Below are 16,661 nucleotides of genomic sequence, written 5' to 3'. Positions count from 1 at the left end.
CATCATTAAGTGATGCATGACTGTAGTTCACTTCATACACAAATCCAACAAGAACATTACAAGAATGGAAACACTTTGGTCAGTCTTTCTCAAGAAGAGATGTAAAAATCCTAAATATTAGTGAATGGAATTCAGCAATAAATACAAAGAATAGTACAACACATTCAAATTGAGTTTACTTCAGGAATGCAAGTTTGGCTTAATATTTGAAAATCAATCAGTACAATTCAACTAACAGAAAAAAAGAAGAAAACTCACTGATATTTCAAAAGGAGCAGAAAAGACTTTTTTTTTTTTTTTTTTAGATGGAGCTTGTTCTGTTGCCCAGGCTAGAGTGCAGAGGTGTGATCTCAGCTAACCGCAGCCTCTGCCTCCCAGGTTCAAGCAATTCTCCCACCTCAGCGTCCTGAGTAGCTGGGATTACAGGTGTGCACCACCACGCCTGGCTAATTTTTGTATTTTTAATAGAGACAGGGTTTCGCCATGTTGGCCAGGCTGTTCCTGAACTCCTGACCTCAGGTGATCCGCCCACCTTGGCCTCTCAAAGTGGTGCAATCTTGGCTCACTGCAAGCTCTGCCTCCCAGGTTCATGCCATTCTCCTGCCTCAGCCTCCTGAGTGGCTGGGACTACAGTCGCCCGCCACCATGCCTGGCTATTTTTTTGTATTTTTAGTAGAGATGGGGTTTCTCCATGTTGGTCAGGCTGGTCTCAAACTCCTGACCTCAGGTGATCTGCCTGCCTCAGCCTCCCAAAGTGCTGAGATTACAGGCATGAGCCACCATGCCTGGCCATTTCTGTTGTTTTAAGCCACTTAGTTTGTGGTAATTCAGCCCTAGGAAATTGAAGATGCCCAGCAACCAGAACTGCTGGGGAGAGTGCAAATGTGAACAACCATTTTTCAGCACCGTTTGTTAGTATCTCCTAAAACCGAACATATGTCTGCCTTATGACTCAGCAATTCCACTCTTAGGTAACTGTCCAGTAGAGTGCCATATGTTGAGCATAGCAGCGTTATTGGCATTAGCCCCAAACTGGACACTACCCAAATGTCCATCAACAGTAGGATGGCTGAATAAGTTGGATATTTATAAAACAGAATTATACAATGAGAATGAACTATACATGGCATCATGAACAACTCTCACAAAAATAATGTTGAGTAAAGGAAGCCAGACACTCAACCGCGTATATACCGCTTACATACTACGTGATTCAGTTTTTAGAAAATTCTAGCCAAAGTAAAATTAATCTTTGGAAACAGGATAATGACTACTTTTAAGAGAGGGCAGTTGGTGGGCTTGGTACAGCTGAGGTGGGAGGACTGCTTGAGACCAGCCTGGACAACATAGTGAGACCTCGTTTGTAATTTAAGAATATACATTTTTTTCTTTTTTTTTTTTGAGATGGAGTCTTGCTCTGTCACCCAGGCTGGAGTGCAATGGCACAATCTCGGCTCACTGCAACCTCCACCTCCTGGGTTCAAGCAGTTCTCCTGCCTCAGCCTTCTGAGTAGCTGGGATTACATGTGTGCCACCACACCACCCGGCTAATTTTTGTATTTTTAGTAGAGACGAGGTTTCACCATGTTGGCTAGGTTGGTCTCGAACTCCTGACCTCAAGTGATCCACCCACCTTGGCCTCCCAAAGTGCTGGGATTGCAGGTGTGAGCCACCGTGCCCAGCCAAATTTTAAAAATTAAAAAAGGAGAAAGAGAGGGTAGTGATTGGAGGGGGGCATAAAAGGGACTCCTGCTAGTAATTTTCAATTGTTTAATCTGAGTGCCGGTTATATGAGTATGTTTACTTTGTTAAAATCCATCAGTTTTGATTTGTACAAGTTTCTAGATGTGTTTATATTTAACAGTAAATTTTCTTAAAAAAAAAAAAAAGACAAAATGATTTAACTTACTGGGACTTCTTGGCCCTTGACATCTTGCAGACTTCTCCCTAGTAGCTGCTGGTTCACCATCCTAATGTGGGATTCATCCACAAAGGACACATACTTTAATGTCTAGGAAAAGATGGTTTGAAAGTTTACCCATTTTTGTACAGAATTATCAAGAATTGCCTATCTAAAGGCAACTGTAATTCCTATTTGCCAAATGATAGACTATTGAACAAGCTGGCTCAAAACTCTCATTAACCAAGAATTAATGATTTCTGAGTCTAAAGATAAATCAGAAATGGAACCCCATGCTTTTTTTTTTTTTTTTTTTTGAGTTGGAGTTCACTCTTGTTGCCAGGCTGGAGTGCAATGGCATGATCTTGGCTCACTGCAACCTCCGCCTCCCAGGTTCAAATGATTCTCCTGCCTCAGCCTCCTGAGTAGCTGGGATTACAGGCATGCACCATCATGCCCAGCTAATTTTGTATTTTTAGTAGAGACGGGGTTTCTCCATGTTGGTCAGGCTGGTCTTGAACTCCTGACCTCAGTTGATCCGCCCGCCTTGGCCTACCAAAGTGCTGGGATTACAGGAGTGAGCCACCACGCCAGGCGGAACCCCATGCATCTTAACTTGTAAATTCAACACAGCCACAGCTTACTGCTTAATGTTTTTACATTGGACCCCCCAGTTGCTGCATAAAATTTCTTTGTTGTATTCTGTCAATTTCAGTAACTCTAGATTCAGTATCTCCAGAAATTTGTACTATTGCAACTTAAATTATTTACATGTTTGTTAAATTTCATCTCATCTTGGGCCATGAAGTGGTGATTAGTTTTAGCTGCAAAGATGAACTTTTATTTCAAATTGTGAATGCATATACAATGGACAGTGAATTATGCATCAGCTGCTGGAACAGGACAATCATGTTCTTGGATGAGGGAAAGACAAAGAAATCGTCTTTGTTTTTTTTTTTTTTTTGAGACGGAGTTTCGCTCTTGTTGCCCAGGCTGGAGTGCAATGGCGCAATCCTGGCTCACCACAACCTCCACCTCCTGGGTTCAAGCGATTCTCCTGCCTCAGCCTCTAGAGAAGCTGGGATTACAGGCATGCGCCACCATGCCTGGCTAATTTTTTGTATTTTTAGTAGAGACGGGGTTTCTCCATGTTGGCCAGGCTGGTTTTGAACTCCTGACCTCAGGTGATCCACCCTCCTTGGCCTCCCAAAGTACTGGGACTACAGGCGTGAGCCACCACGTCTAGCCAATCGTCTTTGTTTTTAGGTACCAGAGATTTATCTTTGGGGAAAATCATGGAGTTGAACGCAGAGGACCTGCTTGATAAAGTCTGAATTAATCAAATCAAAACAATACAGATGACGCTAAAATCTCTTTGACTACTCCTACTCCCCCACCCTAAGCTCCTTTCCAGAAGCAGCCACTGGTACAATTTTGTGTACATATATACACCCACACATATGTATATGTATGTGTGTGTGTGTGTACACTTGTGTATATATAGAATATACATGCAGAAAATATACAGATTAGCTTCTGTGTCTAGTGATTTTTTTTTAACCTATATATCATATAACATATATTGTTCTACAGTTTGCTTTTTTTCTTTTAACAAAATGTCTTGGAGATCTGCTCTTGTCAAGTCCTATAATTTTTTTTTTTTTTTTTTTTTTGAGACAGAGTTTCCCTCTGTCACTCAGGCTGGAGTGCAATGGCATGATCTCAGCTCACTGCAACCTCTGCCTACCAGGTTCAAGCAATTCTCCTGCCTCAGCCTCCCAAGTAGCTGGGACTTCAGGCATGCACCACCACGCCTGGCTAATTTTTGTATTTTTAGTAGAGATGGGGTTTCACCATGTTGGCCAGGCTGGTCTCGAACTCTTGACCTCAAGTGATCTGCCTGCCTCGGCCTCCCAAAGTGTTGGGATTATAGGCGTGAGCCACTGTGCCCAGCCTTGGGCCAATTATTTAACCTTTCTGTGGCTCAATTTCCTCATATATAGAAAGAGATAATAGTAGCATCTGTCTACATCAGGTTGTTGTGAAGATTGAGTTAATAGATAAAGCATTTAGAAGTGCTGTGTAAATGTTTGCCATTATTATTATCTATCTCATTTTTTTAAGCTGGTGCCTGGTATTCCTTTCTATGGATTTACCATAGTTTCACCATTCACCTGTTGGATATTTGGTTAGATGCTATTTCTTCACTGTTAATAATCATATATTATTGATAATTTAATAAACAATCCTGCTTTGAACATCTTGTACTCATGTACTGCGGGTACTCATGTGAGTGTTTCTCTAGGGCAGGTATGGAGAACTGAAAATGCCAGGCTGTAAAGTATGTCCCATTTAAACATTAGTCACTGCCAAATTGTTCTCCAAAGTTGTTATTTTTCTTTTCTTTTTTCTTTTTTGGCTATACCAATTTAATAAATGACAAAACAGGCTGGGCTCAGTGGCTCACACTTATAATCCCAGCACTGTGGGAGGCCGAGTGGGTGGATCATTTGAAGTCAGGAGTTTGAGACCAGCCTGGCCAACATAGCTAAACACCATCTCTACTAAAAATACAAAAATTAGCCAGGTGTGGTGGTGTGCCCCTGTAGTCCCAGCTACTTGGGAGGTTGAGGCAGGAGAATCACTTAAACCTGGGAGGCAGAGGCTGCAGTGAGCCGAGATCATGCCTCTGCACTCCAGCCTGGGTGATAGAGCAAGACTCCATCTGAAAATAAATAAATAAATAAATAAATAAATAAATAAATAAATAAATAAATGACAAAATTGGCAAGTCCTAGACATAAAAATTTGCCTTCCCTCTATCTTGCCCCTCCATTTTTGTTTCCATTCTTCTCTAAGACCAAAAAATTTATCTGAGAGTTGGTTGATCGGGGTAGAACCCAGCGACGTATCCACTACAGGATGAAGCCTGTGATTTGGGCCTAATTTTCGTGCATTTCTGAGTGATTTCATGGAATCTCTCCATGTCTTGGTGTCCTGTGAACACAGCGGCCTCACCGGCTTTGGCTCCACAATGGACTCGCACTTCTTCCTGTAGTAGTATTCGTTGACCACACAGGGCTGACAGCACTTGCACCAGGGATAAATATGGGAGCGACAGCAGTTACTGGAGTAAGTGTCGATGAGGAAGTCGATGAACACAGCGGCCTGGGGAGAATGCAGACAAGCGCTGCGTTAGTCACTTCCTTCTCCAAACCATTTTCCTAAAGCATGGAAAAGAGAATCTCTTACCAGACCGAAGTAGGAGAGGGTTGAGCCGATGTACACAACCAGCTGGATAATGTCAAATTTTCCTCCCTAAAAACAGAGTGGGAGAGTTTACTCAGGTGAAATTCAGAGCAACGCTCTTTTGCTTCAACGTGCAATTGTTGGTTCTATCAGGGAGCGGAGCCTCATGCTGTGACTTGGATAGATGCGTTCAAGTGCTGGCTGAGGCAGAGACTACGCAGACTGAAACTGACTCTCAGGCATCCTGCTTCAGCCGTGCAGGGTGTGCTTGGACCCATAAAGGTTTTACATGAGCAAGCACTGGGGCCCACACATTAAGGGGAGACCCACTGAAGGGCTATCATTTCTCCATACAAGGTGAGGGTTTCAGACAAGCTTCTCCTCCAAAAGGTTTGACATTACTTCAGAAGCAGAGGGAAGGAATGTCTGGGTGGCCTCGTGGGTTTTTTTTTTTTTTTTTTTTTGAGACAGAGTCTCGCACTCTTGCCCAGGCTGGAGTGCAGTGGCGCAATCTCGGCTCACTGCAAGCTCCGCCTCCTGGGTTCAAGAGATACTCCTGCCTCAGCCTCCCAAGTAGCTGGGATTACAAGTACCCACCGCCACGCCCAGCTAATTTTTTGCATTTTTAGTAGAGACAGGGTTTCACCATGTTGGCCAGGCTGGTCTTGAGCTCCTGACCTCATGATCCACCTGCCTCAGCCTCCCAAAGAGCTGGGATTACAGGCATGAGCCACCGTGCCCGGCCCAGCCTTGTGGTTTTTATTCCCAGCGGTCTTTGCATTCTCTCAGCTATATCTTATTGCTTCTAGTCCTGCTTATCACTGTCTTACATAGATAACATGCTCTTGGACAGGATGTCGTGGGATATGTTGATTTTTGCATAGCTGGCATCTTTTCCTTCCATCTTCAGAAGGCAACACTCCAATTTTCTTTTCAGTCCATGTAGTGTGTGTGTGTGTGTGTGTGTGTGTGTGTGTGTGTGTGTGTTGAAGGGGCTGGGGTGTTGGCCTCTCTGCTGGCCCCTGGGCTAGGTTAGGGCTGGTTCGACACTAACCACTGGGAGTATGGCATGACCCTGGTCACAGTGATTAGTTCAGCAGTGGGCATGTCATCCATAGTGGGCCAATCAGAGCCAATGACATTTGTCTGAGACCTTTGCTGAACCTTCTGGCAAAGAGGTGTTTTCTTTTCACTGAGGTTGCTAAACTGGTCAGATCGAAGGTGCTGCCTGATACCTTCATAGAGAGATGGCTGCCAAGACCAAGGAGGACGTATATAAGACACGGAAGGTGGCAAGTTCTTGATGATGATGTTGTTGTTTGAACACCTGGATCCAACCATGCTTGTAGCTTAAAAATAACCCCTGGATTTTTTCAGTTACGTGAACCCAAAAAAGCCCACTCAAAACTTTTTTTTTCCCCTTAAGCCAATTTGAATTGGATTCTGTTACTTACAAACTATTTTACAGAGAGATTTCTTTCTCTCTCTTGTTAAGTATCAGAGTATTTTTAAAGCCGAATGTTAGAATTGCTTTCCAGGCCCACTCCTGTACTCGTCAGATGACTCATTCAGGGACAGCAGCCCGAGAACATCTTCTTCCTCTTTTATCCCATGTGCGAAATGCCCAGTGCTAGCTGAAGGCTGAGACCAAAACCCTTCCCTCCATGGAGGCCCCACAGCAGTAATTAGGACACAGTCATAGGATGCCGGTGCCCGGAGCTGGGAAACGAGACTTACGGTGCCAAAAACCAGGATGTCAAAACGGATCCCGAAGACTTTTATCAGAGTCCGTTTCTCAACATTGTTTTCCTTGTAGTACTTGGCGTATCTGTAGGAAGAAAAGGATCTGTATTTGTAAGATCCCTTTGAAAGTGCTGGGTTTTGGGTTTTTTTTTTTTTTTTTTTGAGACAGGGTCTCACGCTGTCACCCAGGCTGGAGTGCAGTAGCAGGATTACCACTCACTGCAGCCTTGACTTGCTAGGCTCAGATGATTCTCCCACCTCAGTCTCCCAGGTAGCTGGGACTACAGGCATGCACCACCGTGCTCGGCTAATTTTTTGTATTTTTTGTAGAGACGGGCTTTTGCCATGTTGCCCAGGCTGGTCTCGAACTCCTGAGCTCAAGTGATTTGCCTGCCTCAGGCTCCCAAAGTTCTGGGGTTACAGGCATGAGCCACTGCATCTGGCAAAAAATGCTGGTATTTTATGGAAGGAAAAGCCAAAACAGTGGCCTGTCTAGTCCTCCTGGTCTGTCCCCTGGCTCTGTGACAGGTGGCAGGGGAAGGAACACAATCCAAAGCCCTGGGTCTCTCTCCAACCACCTGGAACCAAAGAGCAGTCCCCCCTCCCCATGTCACCACCTGTACCTGCATCATCTCAGAGTGACGGAAAATCAGCTTGTCGCTTAAGATTAAAATGCACATTTTAAACCAACACAGGATTAACAACAAGCAGAGAAATTAAAAAAAAAAAACTTCAAGCAATATGACTATTCCTTAAGGGGGAAGAAGAGGTTTGGCATCTAGAACAAAGTGGGAGTGGGCGGTGGTAAATCTTGCATACTAATTACTGGACTGGAGACAGGCACACCTCAGCAAACTGTATTTTCTTAGATTCTGTGTATGCCTATTTGGCAATCATTAATCACAGGGCCAAACTAAAGGCTGAAGTTGTGTTTTTTGTTTTGTTTTGTTTTGAGGTGGGGTCTTGTTCTGTCACCCAGGTTGGAGAGCACTGGCATGATCAGAGCTCACTGCAGCCTCCACCTCCTGGGCCCAAGTGATACTCCCACCTCAGCCTCCCAAGTAGCTGGGTGGGACTACAAGCGTGCACCACTACAGGTGGCTAATTTTTATTTTTAAATTTTTTGGTCGGGCACCGTGGCTCACACCTGTAATCCCAGCACTTTGGGAGGCCGAGGCGGGTGGATCACTTGAGGTCAGGAGTTCAAGACCAGCCCGGACAACATGGTGAAACCCCATCTCTACTAAAAATACAAAAATTAGCCGTGCATGGTGGCAGGCACCTGTAATCCCAGCTACTCAGGACGCTGAGGCACGAGAATCACTTGAACCCAGGAGATGGAGGTCACAGTGAGCCGAGATCGTATCACTGCGCTCTAGCCTGGGTGACAGAGCAAGACTGTCTCAAAAAAAAAAAAAAAAAAAGAAAAGAAAAGAAAAAATAAAAAAGTTTTTTTCAAAAATGTTTTGTAGAATCAGGATCTCATTCCTTCAACCAGGCTGGAGTGCAGTGGTGTAATCATAGCTTGTTGCAGCCTTGAACTCCTGGCTTCAAGCCATCCTTTCATCTTGGCCTCCCAAGGCTGAAGTTGTTTACATCTCCTCTGCAATCCAGCTTTTGTGAGGGTGTGAAAATCATATTACAAACCCTCCAACCAATCCCTCAACCACCTCCTTTTCTAACTCTCCAGTATTTCTCCTTAGGGACAGGTAGGGTGAGGGCCAGACATTTAGAGACCATTCCTGTAACTCAGAACCTACTGGCATTATTCAAAGTAGTTAACCCTAAGCTGTTTCCCTAGTCCTGCCTTGCCCTTCCACTGAGTAACACAATAAAGCTCTGGACCATTCTTTACCCTTTATTCTGCCTCTTGAGCGGATCTGGTACTTCCTCCTGTGGCCCTGTCTAGCATGGCATGGCCTGGTATGGCCTGGTATGGTGTGGTGTGGCCCCATCTCTTGGGAAAAGTATGTAATAAATTCTTCTTGGCCAGGTGCAATGGCTCACGCCTGTAATCCCAGCACTTTGGGAGGCCAAGGTAGGCAGATCACCTCAGGTCAGGAGTTTGAGACCAACCTGGCCAACATGATGAAACCCCATCTCTACTAAAAATACAAAAATTAGCTGGATGTGGTGGCAGACGCCTGTAATCCCAGCTACTCAGGAAGCTGAGGCAGGAGAATCACTTGAACCCAGGAGGCAGAGGTTGCAGTGAGCCGATATCACACCACTGCACTCCGGCCTGAGTGAGAGAGTAAGACTGCCTCTCAAACAAACAAACAAACAAACAAACAAAATATTCTTTGAGTGGCATTGACCTCTCTCTGTCATCACTCAGTACTAACTTTAAAAATTAAGCGCCAGGCACAAATCATCACAGTCACCCGTGATATGCAACCCTCACCAGTGCTGCAGTCAGGAAAAGTGGTGTGTTTTGTTTTTCAAGAATAATTAAGGAGGCTTAAAATGAACGCTTCATAAAACTTTTAAATCTGCCCCTTCTTCTCACCACACTTTGATGATTCTTTTTAGATAAAGTTACATATACATGTTTATTTTTTCTGAGTTATTAATTCACCGTCTAGTTACAAGATGTAGGGAGAGAAGAAAGCAGATGGCAGATGTTCTGCCAAAAAATAGTAAGAAACATCTGAAACTGTTTTTAAAAAACCTCTCAAAACCTGACATTGAAATCGATCAGATATTCTCAGGCACTTTAGTGGCTCTTTCTGACTGGAGGGAATTCAATTTCTTTGCATGTGACTATTTCAAGAGAGCTTTTTCTCTTGCTGATGTATTGAGTGATTTATCTTTGTTGTTGTTGTTTGTTTTTGTTTTTTTTGAGACAGGATCTGGCTCTGTCATCCAGGCTGGAGTGCAGTGGCTTGAACACAGCTCACTGTGGCCTCCGCCTCCCGGGCTCAAGTCATCCTCCCACTTCAGCCTCCCGGCAGCTGGGACTACAGGTGCAAACCATTACACCCGACTAATTTTTAAAATTTTTTTATAGAGATGATGGTCTCACTGTGTTGCCCAGGCTGGCTTGAACTCCTGAGCTCAAGTGATGCACCCACCTCAGCCTCCCAAATTGTTGGGATTATAGGCATGAGCCAACGTGCCCAGGCAGTGATTTGTTTTTTAATTCGCAAGCAAGCATGCATTGCCACTGCCTGCCCTGGGATTGGCATTATCTCCCTATGTGAGTTGGTTTGCCTGGGAAGGTTAACATTGTGTAGTAAGCACGTGAATTTCTGCTTCCAGAGTCTTGTTACAGTGGCTCTTAAACTGAAGGCAAGAATCACTTGGGGTGATGGCTGGGCGCAGTGGCTCACGCCTGTAATCCCAGCACTTTGGGAGGCCGAGGCAGGCAGATCACGAGGTCAGGAGATCGAGACCATCCTGGCTAACATGGTGAAACCCCGTCTGTACTAAAAATGCAAAAAATTAGCCGGGTGTGGTGGCGGGCACCTGTAGTCCCAGCTACTCGGGAGGCTGAGGCAAGAGAATCGTGTGAACCCGGGAGGCGGAGCTTGCAGTGAGCCGAGATCACGCCACTGCACTCCAGCCTGGGGGACAGAGCAAGACTCCATCTCAAAAAAAAAAAAAAAAAGAAAGAAAGAATCACTTGGGGTGAGTGTGTTCAGAGGCAGACTCCTGAGCCCCTCACTCAAAGAGTGGTTGCAGAAGCTCTGAGATGTTTCTAGGAGTCTGTATTTCCAGTACAGGTACCAAGTGATTATTCTGATGCAGGTAGTCAGTGGGCTATGCCCTGAGAAACATCGGGCCTTGAACAAGAGTGTTTTTCGTACACTGGAATGGGTTGAGCCCCCAAATAAGATATGTTCAAGTATCTAATCCCTAGTGGCTGTGATATGACCTTATTTGGAAATACAGTGTTTGCAGATATAATTAAGTTAAACATCTCAAGATGAGATTATCCTGGATTTAGGGTAAGCCCCAAATCCAATGACTAGTATCTTTATAAGATAAAGGAGAGATCAAATCGCTTGAGCCCGGGAGGCAGAGGTTGCAGTGACCCGAAATTACGCCATTGCACTTCAGTCTAGGAGACTGGAGTGAAACCCTGCCTCAAAAAAAAAAAAAAAAAAAAAAGAGATTGAAGACATAGAGACACAGTGGAGAAGGCCATGTGAGGATGGAGGCAGAGATTTGTGGGACGCTGCTATAAAGTTATGGAATGCCTGGAGCCACCAGACGCTGGAAGAGGCAAGAGAGGACCCTCCCGTAGAGCATCAGAGCGAGTGTGGCCCTGCTGACATCTTGATTCCAAACTTCTGGCTTCCAGAACTATAAGAAGATTAATTTCTGTTGTTTTAAGCCACCACATTTGTGGCAATTAGTCATAACAGCCACAGGAAATTAACACAGACACATACTCCTGCTGGGCCTGAGAAGCGCGTCGTGCATTCTGGGTGGCCTGATCCACTTCACACAGGTCGTGCATAAGCGGAATCACCTATTCACTGAATAAGGACATTTCGCCACAGGTCATTTTCTAAACAACAGAATTCTGTAATGTGATCAACTTCTTCAACTTCCTATGTTTTAGAAAGTTATATTTTCTGAAATACCTCGTATAACCTGTAATTTCCTTCTCTTTTGTGTGTCTGCTGGAAAATAACTTGTCCACTTACTCATCAGACCTCAACAATTTATTTATTTATTTAAGTTGTTTTTAAAGACAGAGCTTTGCTCTGTCGCCCAGGCTGGAGTGAAGTGGCATGACCCCGGCTCACTGCAACCTCCACCTTCCGGGTTCAAGCAGTTCTCCCTGCCTCAGCCTCCCAGTAGCTGTATTACAGGCACCTGTCACCACGTCCAGCTAATTTTTGTATTTTTAGGAGAGACAGGGTTTCACCATGTTGGCCAGGCTGGTCTCGAACTCCTGACCTCAGGTGATCCTCCTGCTTCGGCCTCCCAAAGTGTTGGGATTACAGGCATAAGCCACTGCTCCCGGCCCTCAACAATTTATTTTTGGCCAGAGATTTCTTCTGGTGCTCATTCCAGACAACAAATGCTCTACCACTTTGTTCTAAAAGAACATTAACATCATAACTGGCTGAGGCCTTCAGAGGGCTCAGGTCTCTCCAGGAGCAGATGTTTTTGTGCTCAACTCAGTCGCTGGAAGGACACTTGCTGACACCTGATTGGTACACTGCCCCGCATGCTTCTGCTGACAGCTAAAAAAACACCCTGGAAGGGCAGTCAGTCAGGGGACCATTCATCCTGTCCTCTCTTCTTAATGGCCATAAGCCTATTCAGCACAGCGGCAGGGGATGATCAAAAAGTTATCACAATTAGGAGCTGGTTCCATTGCCTTGGATGAAATTCCATTGATCCAGAGGAAGCAAAAAGCATCAGCCCGCCTTTGAGTCAAGGGTTTCAAACTCAAACGTCTACACAGGGGCCAGGCAGATGACAGAAATGAGTGATGTGGGCCAGGTATAAGCACTAAGGAGTGGCGGGGACAGTGATGAACCAGAAAGCCCAGCCCCTTTCTAAATAGGACCACTGATACTCAGCTCCAGCCAGTGGCCACCATGTAAGGGTCTCACTCTGTCACCCAGGCTGGAGTGCAGTGGCACAACCACGGTTCACTGCAGCCTCCACCTCCCAGGTTCAAGCAATCCTCCTGCCTCAGCCTCCTGAGTAGCTGGGACCAGAGGTGCATGCCCCCACACCTGGCTGATGTTTTAAAAATTATTATTTGTAGAGATGGGGTCTCCCTATGTTGCCCAGGCTAGCCTCAAACCCCCGGGTTCAAGTGATCCTCCCACCTTGGCCTCCCAAAGTGCTGGGATTACAGGCATAAGCCACCGCACCTGGCCTGTCTCAAGTTTTAAAACATCATGCAGACCAAAAAACAAAAAAACAGAAACAGAAACACATTTAAGGGGCTGCCTGCCAGTTTATGGAGCTGCTTTGAGTAATATATAAGGAATACTCCATAACACACAGCACATGCAGAACTTTGCATAAGATCTTTTCTACTGAAGACAGTATTTCAAAGCCCACGAGGAGAACTCCCACCCAAGTTACTTCAGATAATAGGTCGGTATGAAAGGAATGATACAGTAGAATGGACAGAAGGAGTAGGATCCTTAAGGTAAGAATGGGACTCACTGGAACAATAATAGATGACTTTGAAAAAGCACCAAATAAAAATCCTAGAAATGAAAATTATAGGCCAGGTGCAGTGGCTTACACCTGCAATCCCAACGCTTTAGGAGGCCAAGGCAGGCGGATTGCTTGAGCCAGGAGTTTGAGACCAGCCTGGGCAATATAGTGAGACCCCGACTCTACAAAAAAATTTTAAAAATTAGCTGGGCATGGTGGCGTGCACCTGTAGTCCTAGCTACTCAGGAGGCTGAGGTGGGAGGATCACTTGGGCCTGGGAGGCAGAGGTTGCAGTGAGCTATAATTGCACCCGGTCCACTCCAACCTGGGTGACAGAGTGAGACTCTGTCTCAGAAAAAAAAATGAAACATTATAACTATAGATATTTTTAAAAATAAAAAGCATATGATAAAATGTTCACAACCTTTGATTCAATAAGTCTAGAAATTTATCCTAAGGAAGTAACCTGGAATTCAAAGAGAAGTTTATGTGCAAAGATGCACACTGTGGTTACTTGTAATAGAAAAACTGGAAGCAACTCAAATATTCAATCATGGAGGCGTAGGTGAGAAAATCATGAGATGGGAAGGAAGGGATGGAGTGTGAGTGTGGGGTCAGAGTGACGTGGGTTAGAATTATGCAACATGTACTATCAGCTGTGGGTCTTGGGCAAATCATCTTCCAGAAACAATATCTTCCTTCCAGGGTTGTTGGGAGATTTAGGGATGGCGACGGGGAGTGCTTGGTATATGGAAAACCCTCCTTGGGCCAGGCACAGTGGCTCATGCCTGTAATCCTAGCACTTTGGGAAGCCAAGGCGGGAAGATCACTTGAGGTCAAGAGTTCGAGACCAGACTGGCCAACACAGTGAAACCCCATCTCTACTGAATATACAAAAATTAGCTGGGTGTGGTGGCACATGCCTGTGGTCCCAGAAACTTGGGAGGTGGGAGGATCGCTTGGACCTAGGAGGCAGAGGTTGCAGTGAGCTGAGATCATGCCACTGCACTCCAGCCTGGGCAAGCAGAGTGTGACTCCATCTAAAAAAAAAAAAGAAAAGAAAAGAAAAGAAAACACTGCCTGAATTGTAGCAGTTGTTATTTGTTCACCTACAAAATGGAATGTTATGATCATTAATGTGATGGTTACAAAGAATTTTGAGTGGCTGTGGTATGAAAAACCCCGCAGAATACCACAAGATATATATATATATGCTATTATCTCATAGGAGCTGTATGAAATAATTGGTACAGATGAGGAAAATTCCCCCGAGGGTTGTTATTGATTATTTCAGGGTAGGGGAATTATGGGTGATTTTGATCCCCCTCTATGCTTTTCTGTTTCCCAATAGTTTTGTTTTATAAACAGTGTGCATCCGCCTATAATCTCAGCTACTTGGGAGGCTGAGGCAGGAGAGTCGCTTGAACCTGGGAGGCGGAAGTTTGCAGTGACTGAGATGGCGCCACTGCACTTCAGCCTGGGTGACAGAGTGAGACTCCATTTCAAAAAAAAAAAAATAAGTAAAAAATAAAGAGTGTGCATCTCTTTTGAGAATTTTAAAAAATTATGGAAAAAATTCAGTTATCACCTAGTTCTTAGAGAAAGTCTTTTTTCATTCATCTTGTTGCCTTGGAAACCAAAATTAGTCTCACCAGTTCCTGGGAATGCGATTCAGCCACTGGGTGAGTTTGACCTGGGCCTTGGAGTTACCTGAAGTTGTAGCCAGGGTACAAGGACACGTTGGTGGTCTTGTCGTCAAGGCGACGGAAACTGTATTTGGGACGGCAGTGATGGAACCAACGGTCTAGGTTGCAGTCCCAGTAGATCTCAATGCCCATTATTCCGCCCTGAAGGATCAACAAGGGACAGTCTCTATGGCTGCTGGGTGTGAGTTACGCAACCGCCAGACATCTCCCTGCATAGCCAGGATTGCTTAAGGTTTTTAGAGGAAAAATGCTGATTGAAGAACCATATGTACAGCCCCACCTAACTCGCACAAGTGTTATTGTGGCAGCCACAATCGCATCTCCTCACTCTCCCTACCCCCGTCTGGGACACATCACCGTTAAACTCATTGTCCTAAAATACAACTTTCAACAGACCACTCCTGTACCCAAACACCTTTAATGCCCCCCACGCCCCCATTAAAGATCAAGTCCAAACTTATTAGACTGGAATTCAGGGCACTCTATCAAATATCTTTTCTGCTTTACCTCCTAGTACTCCCCTAGGGAAAGCTCTTTGCAGATGCGAATACATGAAGGATTTTTTTTTTTTTTTTTGAGATGGAGTTTCGCTCTTGTCACCTAGGCTGGAGTGCAGTGGTGCGATCTCGGCTCACTGCAACCTCTGCCTCCCAGGTTCAAGCGATTCTCCTGTCTCAGCCTCCCGAGTAGCTGGGATTACAGGAGCCTGCAATCATGCCCGGCTATTTTTTTTTTTTTTTTGTATTTTTAGTAAAGATGGGCTTTCACCATGTTGGCCAGGCTGGTGTTGAACTCCTGACCTCAGGTGATCCACCCACCTCAGCCTCCCAAAGTGCTGGGATTACAGGCATGAGCCACCGTGCCCAGCCTAAATGAAGGATCTTGAGATGGGAGATTATCCTGGATTATCCAGTTGGTCCTTAAATGCCCCCTCTTGTAAATGCTCTCTCTCTTTGTAAGACAGAGGCAAAGGGAGATTGGACACAGGATAGGGAGTGAAAGTGGCCACTGAGGCAAGATGTTATGCTGCTGGCTTTGAAGAAATGCAAGGAATGCAGCTCCAGAAGGTGGAAAAGCTGAGGAACTGGATTCTCCCTTAAAGTCCCGGAGGGAGCACTGCCCTGGCTCAGGGAAAATCATCTCCAACTTCTGATCTCTGGCAACATAAGCAAATATGTGTTCTTTGAAGCCACTAAGCTTTGATAACTTGCTACAGCAGCCACAGGAAAGGAATACACCAAGTAGCTCTCACTCATAAGGATTGTTTTGGGATTTGACGAGGTATGGTAGGTAAAGTCCTTAGCGTAGCGGGTGGATTTACTAAATGCTCAGTAAATGTGAGCCACATTATGAAGACCCAGTGGCCCGGCCTCTTGGCTGTTTGACATCCTCCATCCCTAGACACACAGCCCCACATCCCAGTGTACAAAGCACCACCAACCTGAATTGCCACATCTGAAAAATTATCGCCTGTTTCTCGGAAGATGTCTCCTAGTCGGAAAATGGGACACTGTGGATTCTGAGTCTTGTGGAAGGTACAAGTGATGTTTAAACCTGGCAGGATGTTTCTCCTGTGCATAATTAAAAGCAAACAAACAAACAAACATCTCGATTGAAAACAGATCTGTCTCTTTCCCAGGAGTGAGCCAGTGTGGTGGAGAGGTTCCATGAAAGCCCCAAATGATCACTGCCTCCTGGGACCCCTGGGCAGTGGCCTCTCACACTGGACCAGGGTTGATCTGTGTGACCAATGGCATATGGCAGAAGTGTTGGGGTCTCCCCCCAAAGACTGTGGCTTCCATCTTGGTTATACTCTTGGTTGCTTGCTCTGTCTCTCTTGGGTCACTTGCTCTGGGAGAAGCCAGCCACCATATACCAAGGATACTCAAGTGGTCTAGGGCGAGGTTCACGTGGTGAGGAACTGA

The 16,661-nt window shown here is 45.2% G+C and overlaps 1 protein-coding gene and 1 long non-coding RNA gene across 17 annotated transcripts in view; one reads left to right on the top strand and one right to left on the bottom strand.

The window, feature by feature from the left end:
- Positions 1 to 16,661, top strand: part of LOC105370032 (uncharacterized) — an 84,641-nt gene that overhangs the window by 27,708 nt on the left and 40,272 nt on the right. The gene's annotated exons all lie outside the window — the stretch shown is intronic.
- The window catches only part of P2RX7 (purinergic receptor P2X 7), a 55,157-nt gene that overhangs the window by 5,668 nt on the left and 32,828 nt on the right, over positions 1 to 16,661 (bottom strand). For 5 of the 13 annotated variants that reach the window (NR_033949.2, NR_033954.2, NM_002562.6 and 2 more), the window contains 6 exons: positions 16,178 to 16,307; positions 14,741 to 14,877; positions 6,887 to 6,977; positions 5,153 to 5,218; positions 4,919 to 5,068; positions 1,910 to 2,011 (listed from right to left, as the gene is read on the bottom strand). Coding sequence is in view for 4 of the 13 variants with exons in the window: in NM_002562.6 (NP_002553.3) it covers positions 1,910 to 2,011; positions 4,919 to 5,068; positions 5,153 to 5,218; positions 6,887 to 6,977; positions 14,741 to 14,877; positions 16,178 to 16,307 (676 nt within the window). In the remaining 9 variants the exon portion in view is untranslated. Of the gene's footprint in view, positions 1 to 1,909; positions 2,012 to 4,918; positions 5,219 to 6,886; positions 6,978 to 14,740; positions 14,878 to 16,177; positions 16,308 to 16,661 lie in introns of all 13 variants that reach the window. The other 8 variants (NR_033948.2, NR_033951.2, NR_033952.2 and 5 more) reach the window with 4 other exon arrangements.

The sequence above is a fragment of the Homo sapiens genome, chromosome 12 (assembly GCF_000001405.40).
Source record: "Homo sapiens chromosome 12, GRCh38.p14 Primary Assembly".
In the NCBI taxonomy this organism is placed as follows: domain Eukaryota; kingdom Metazoa; phylum Chordata; class Mammalia; order Primates; family Hominidae; genus Homo; species Homo sapiens.
Note: the sequence above shows the minus strand (reverse complement) of the source record. Positions and strands in the feature narration are given on the sequence as shown.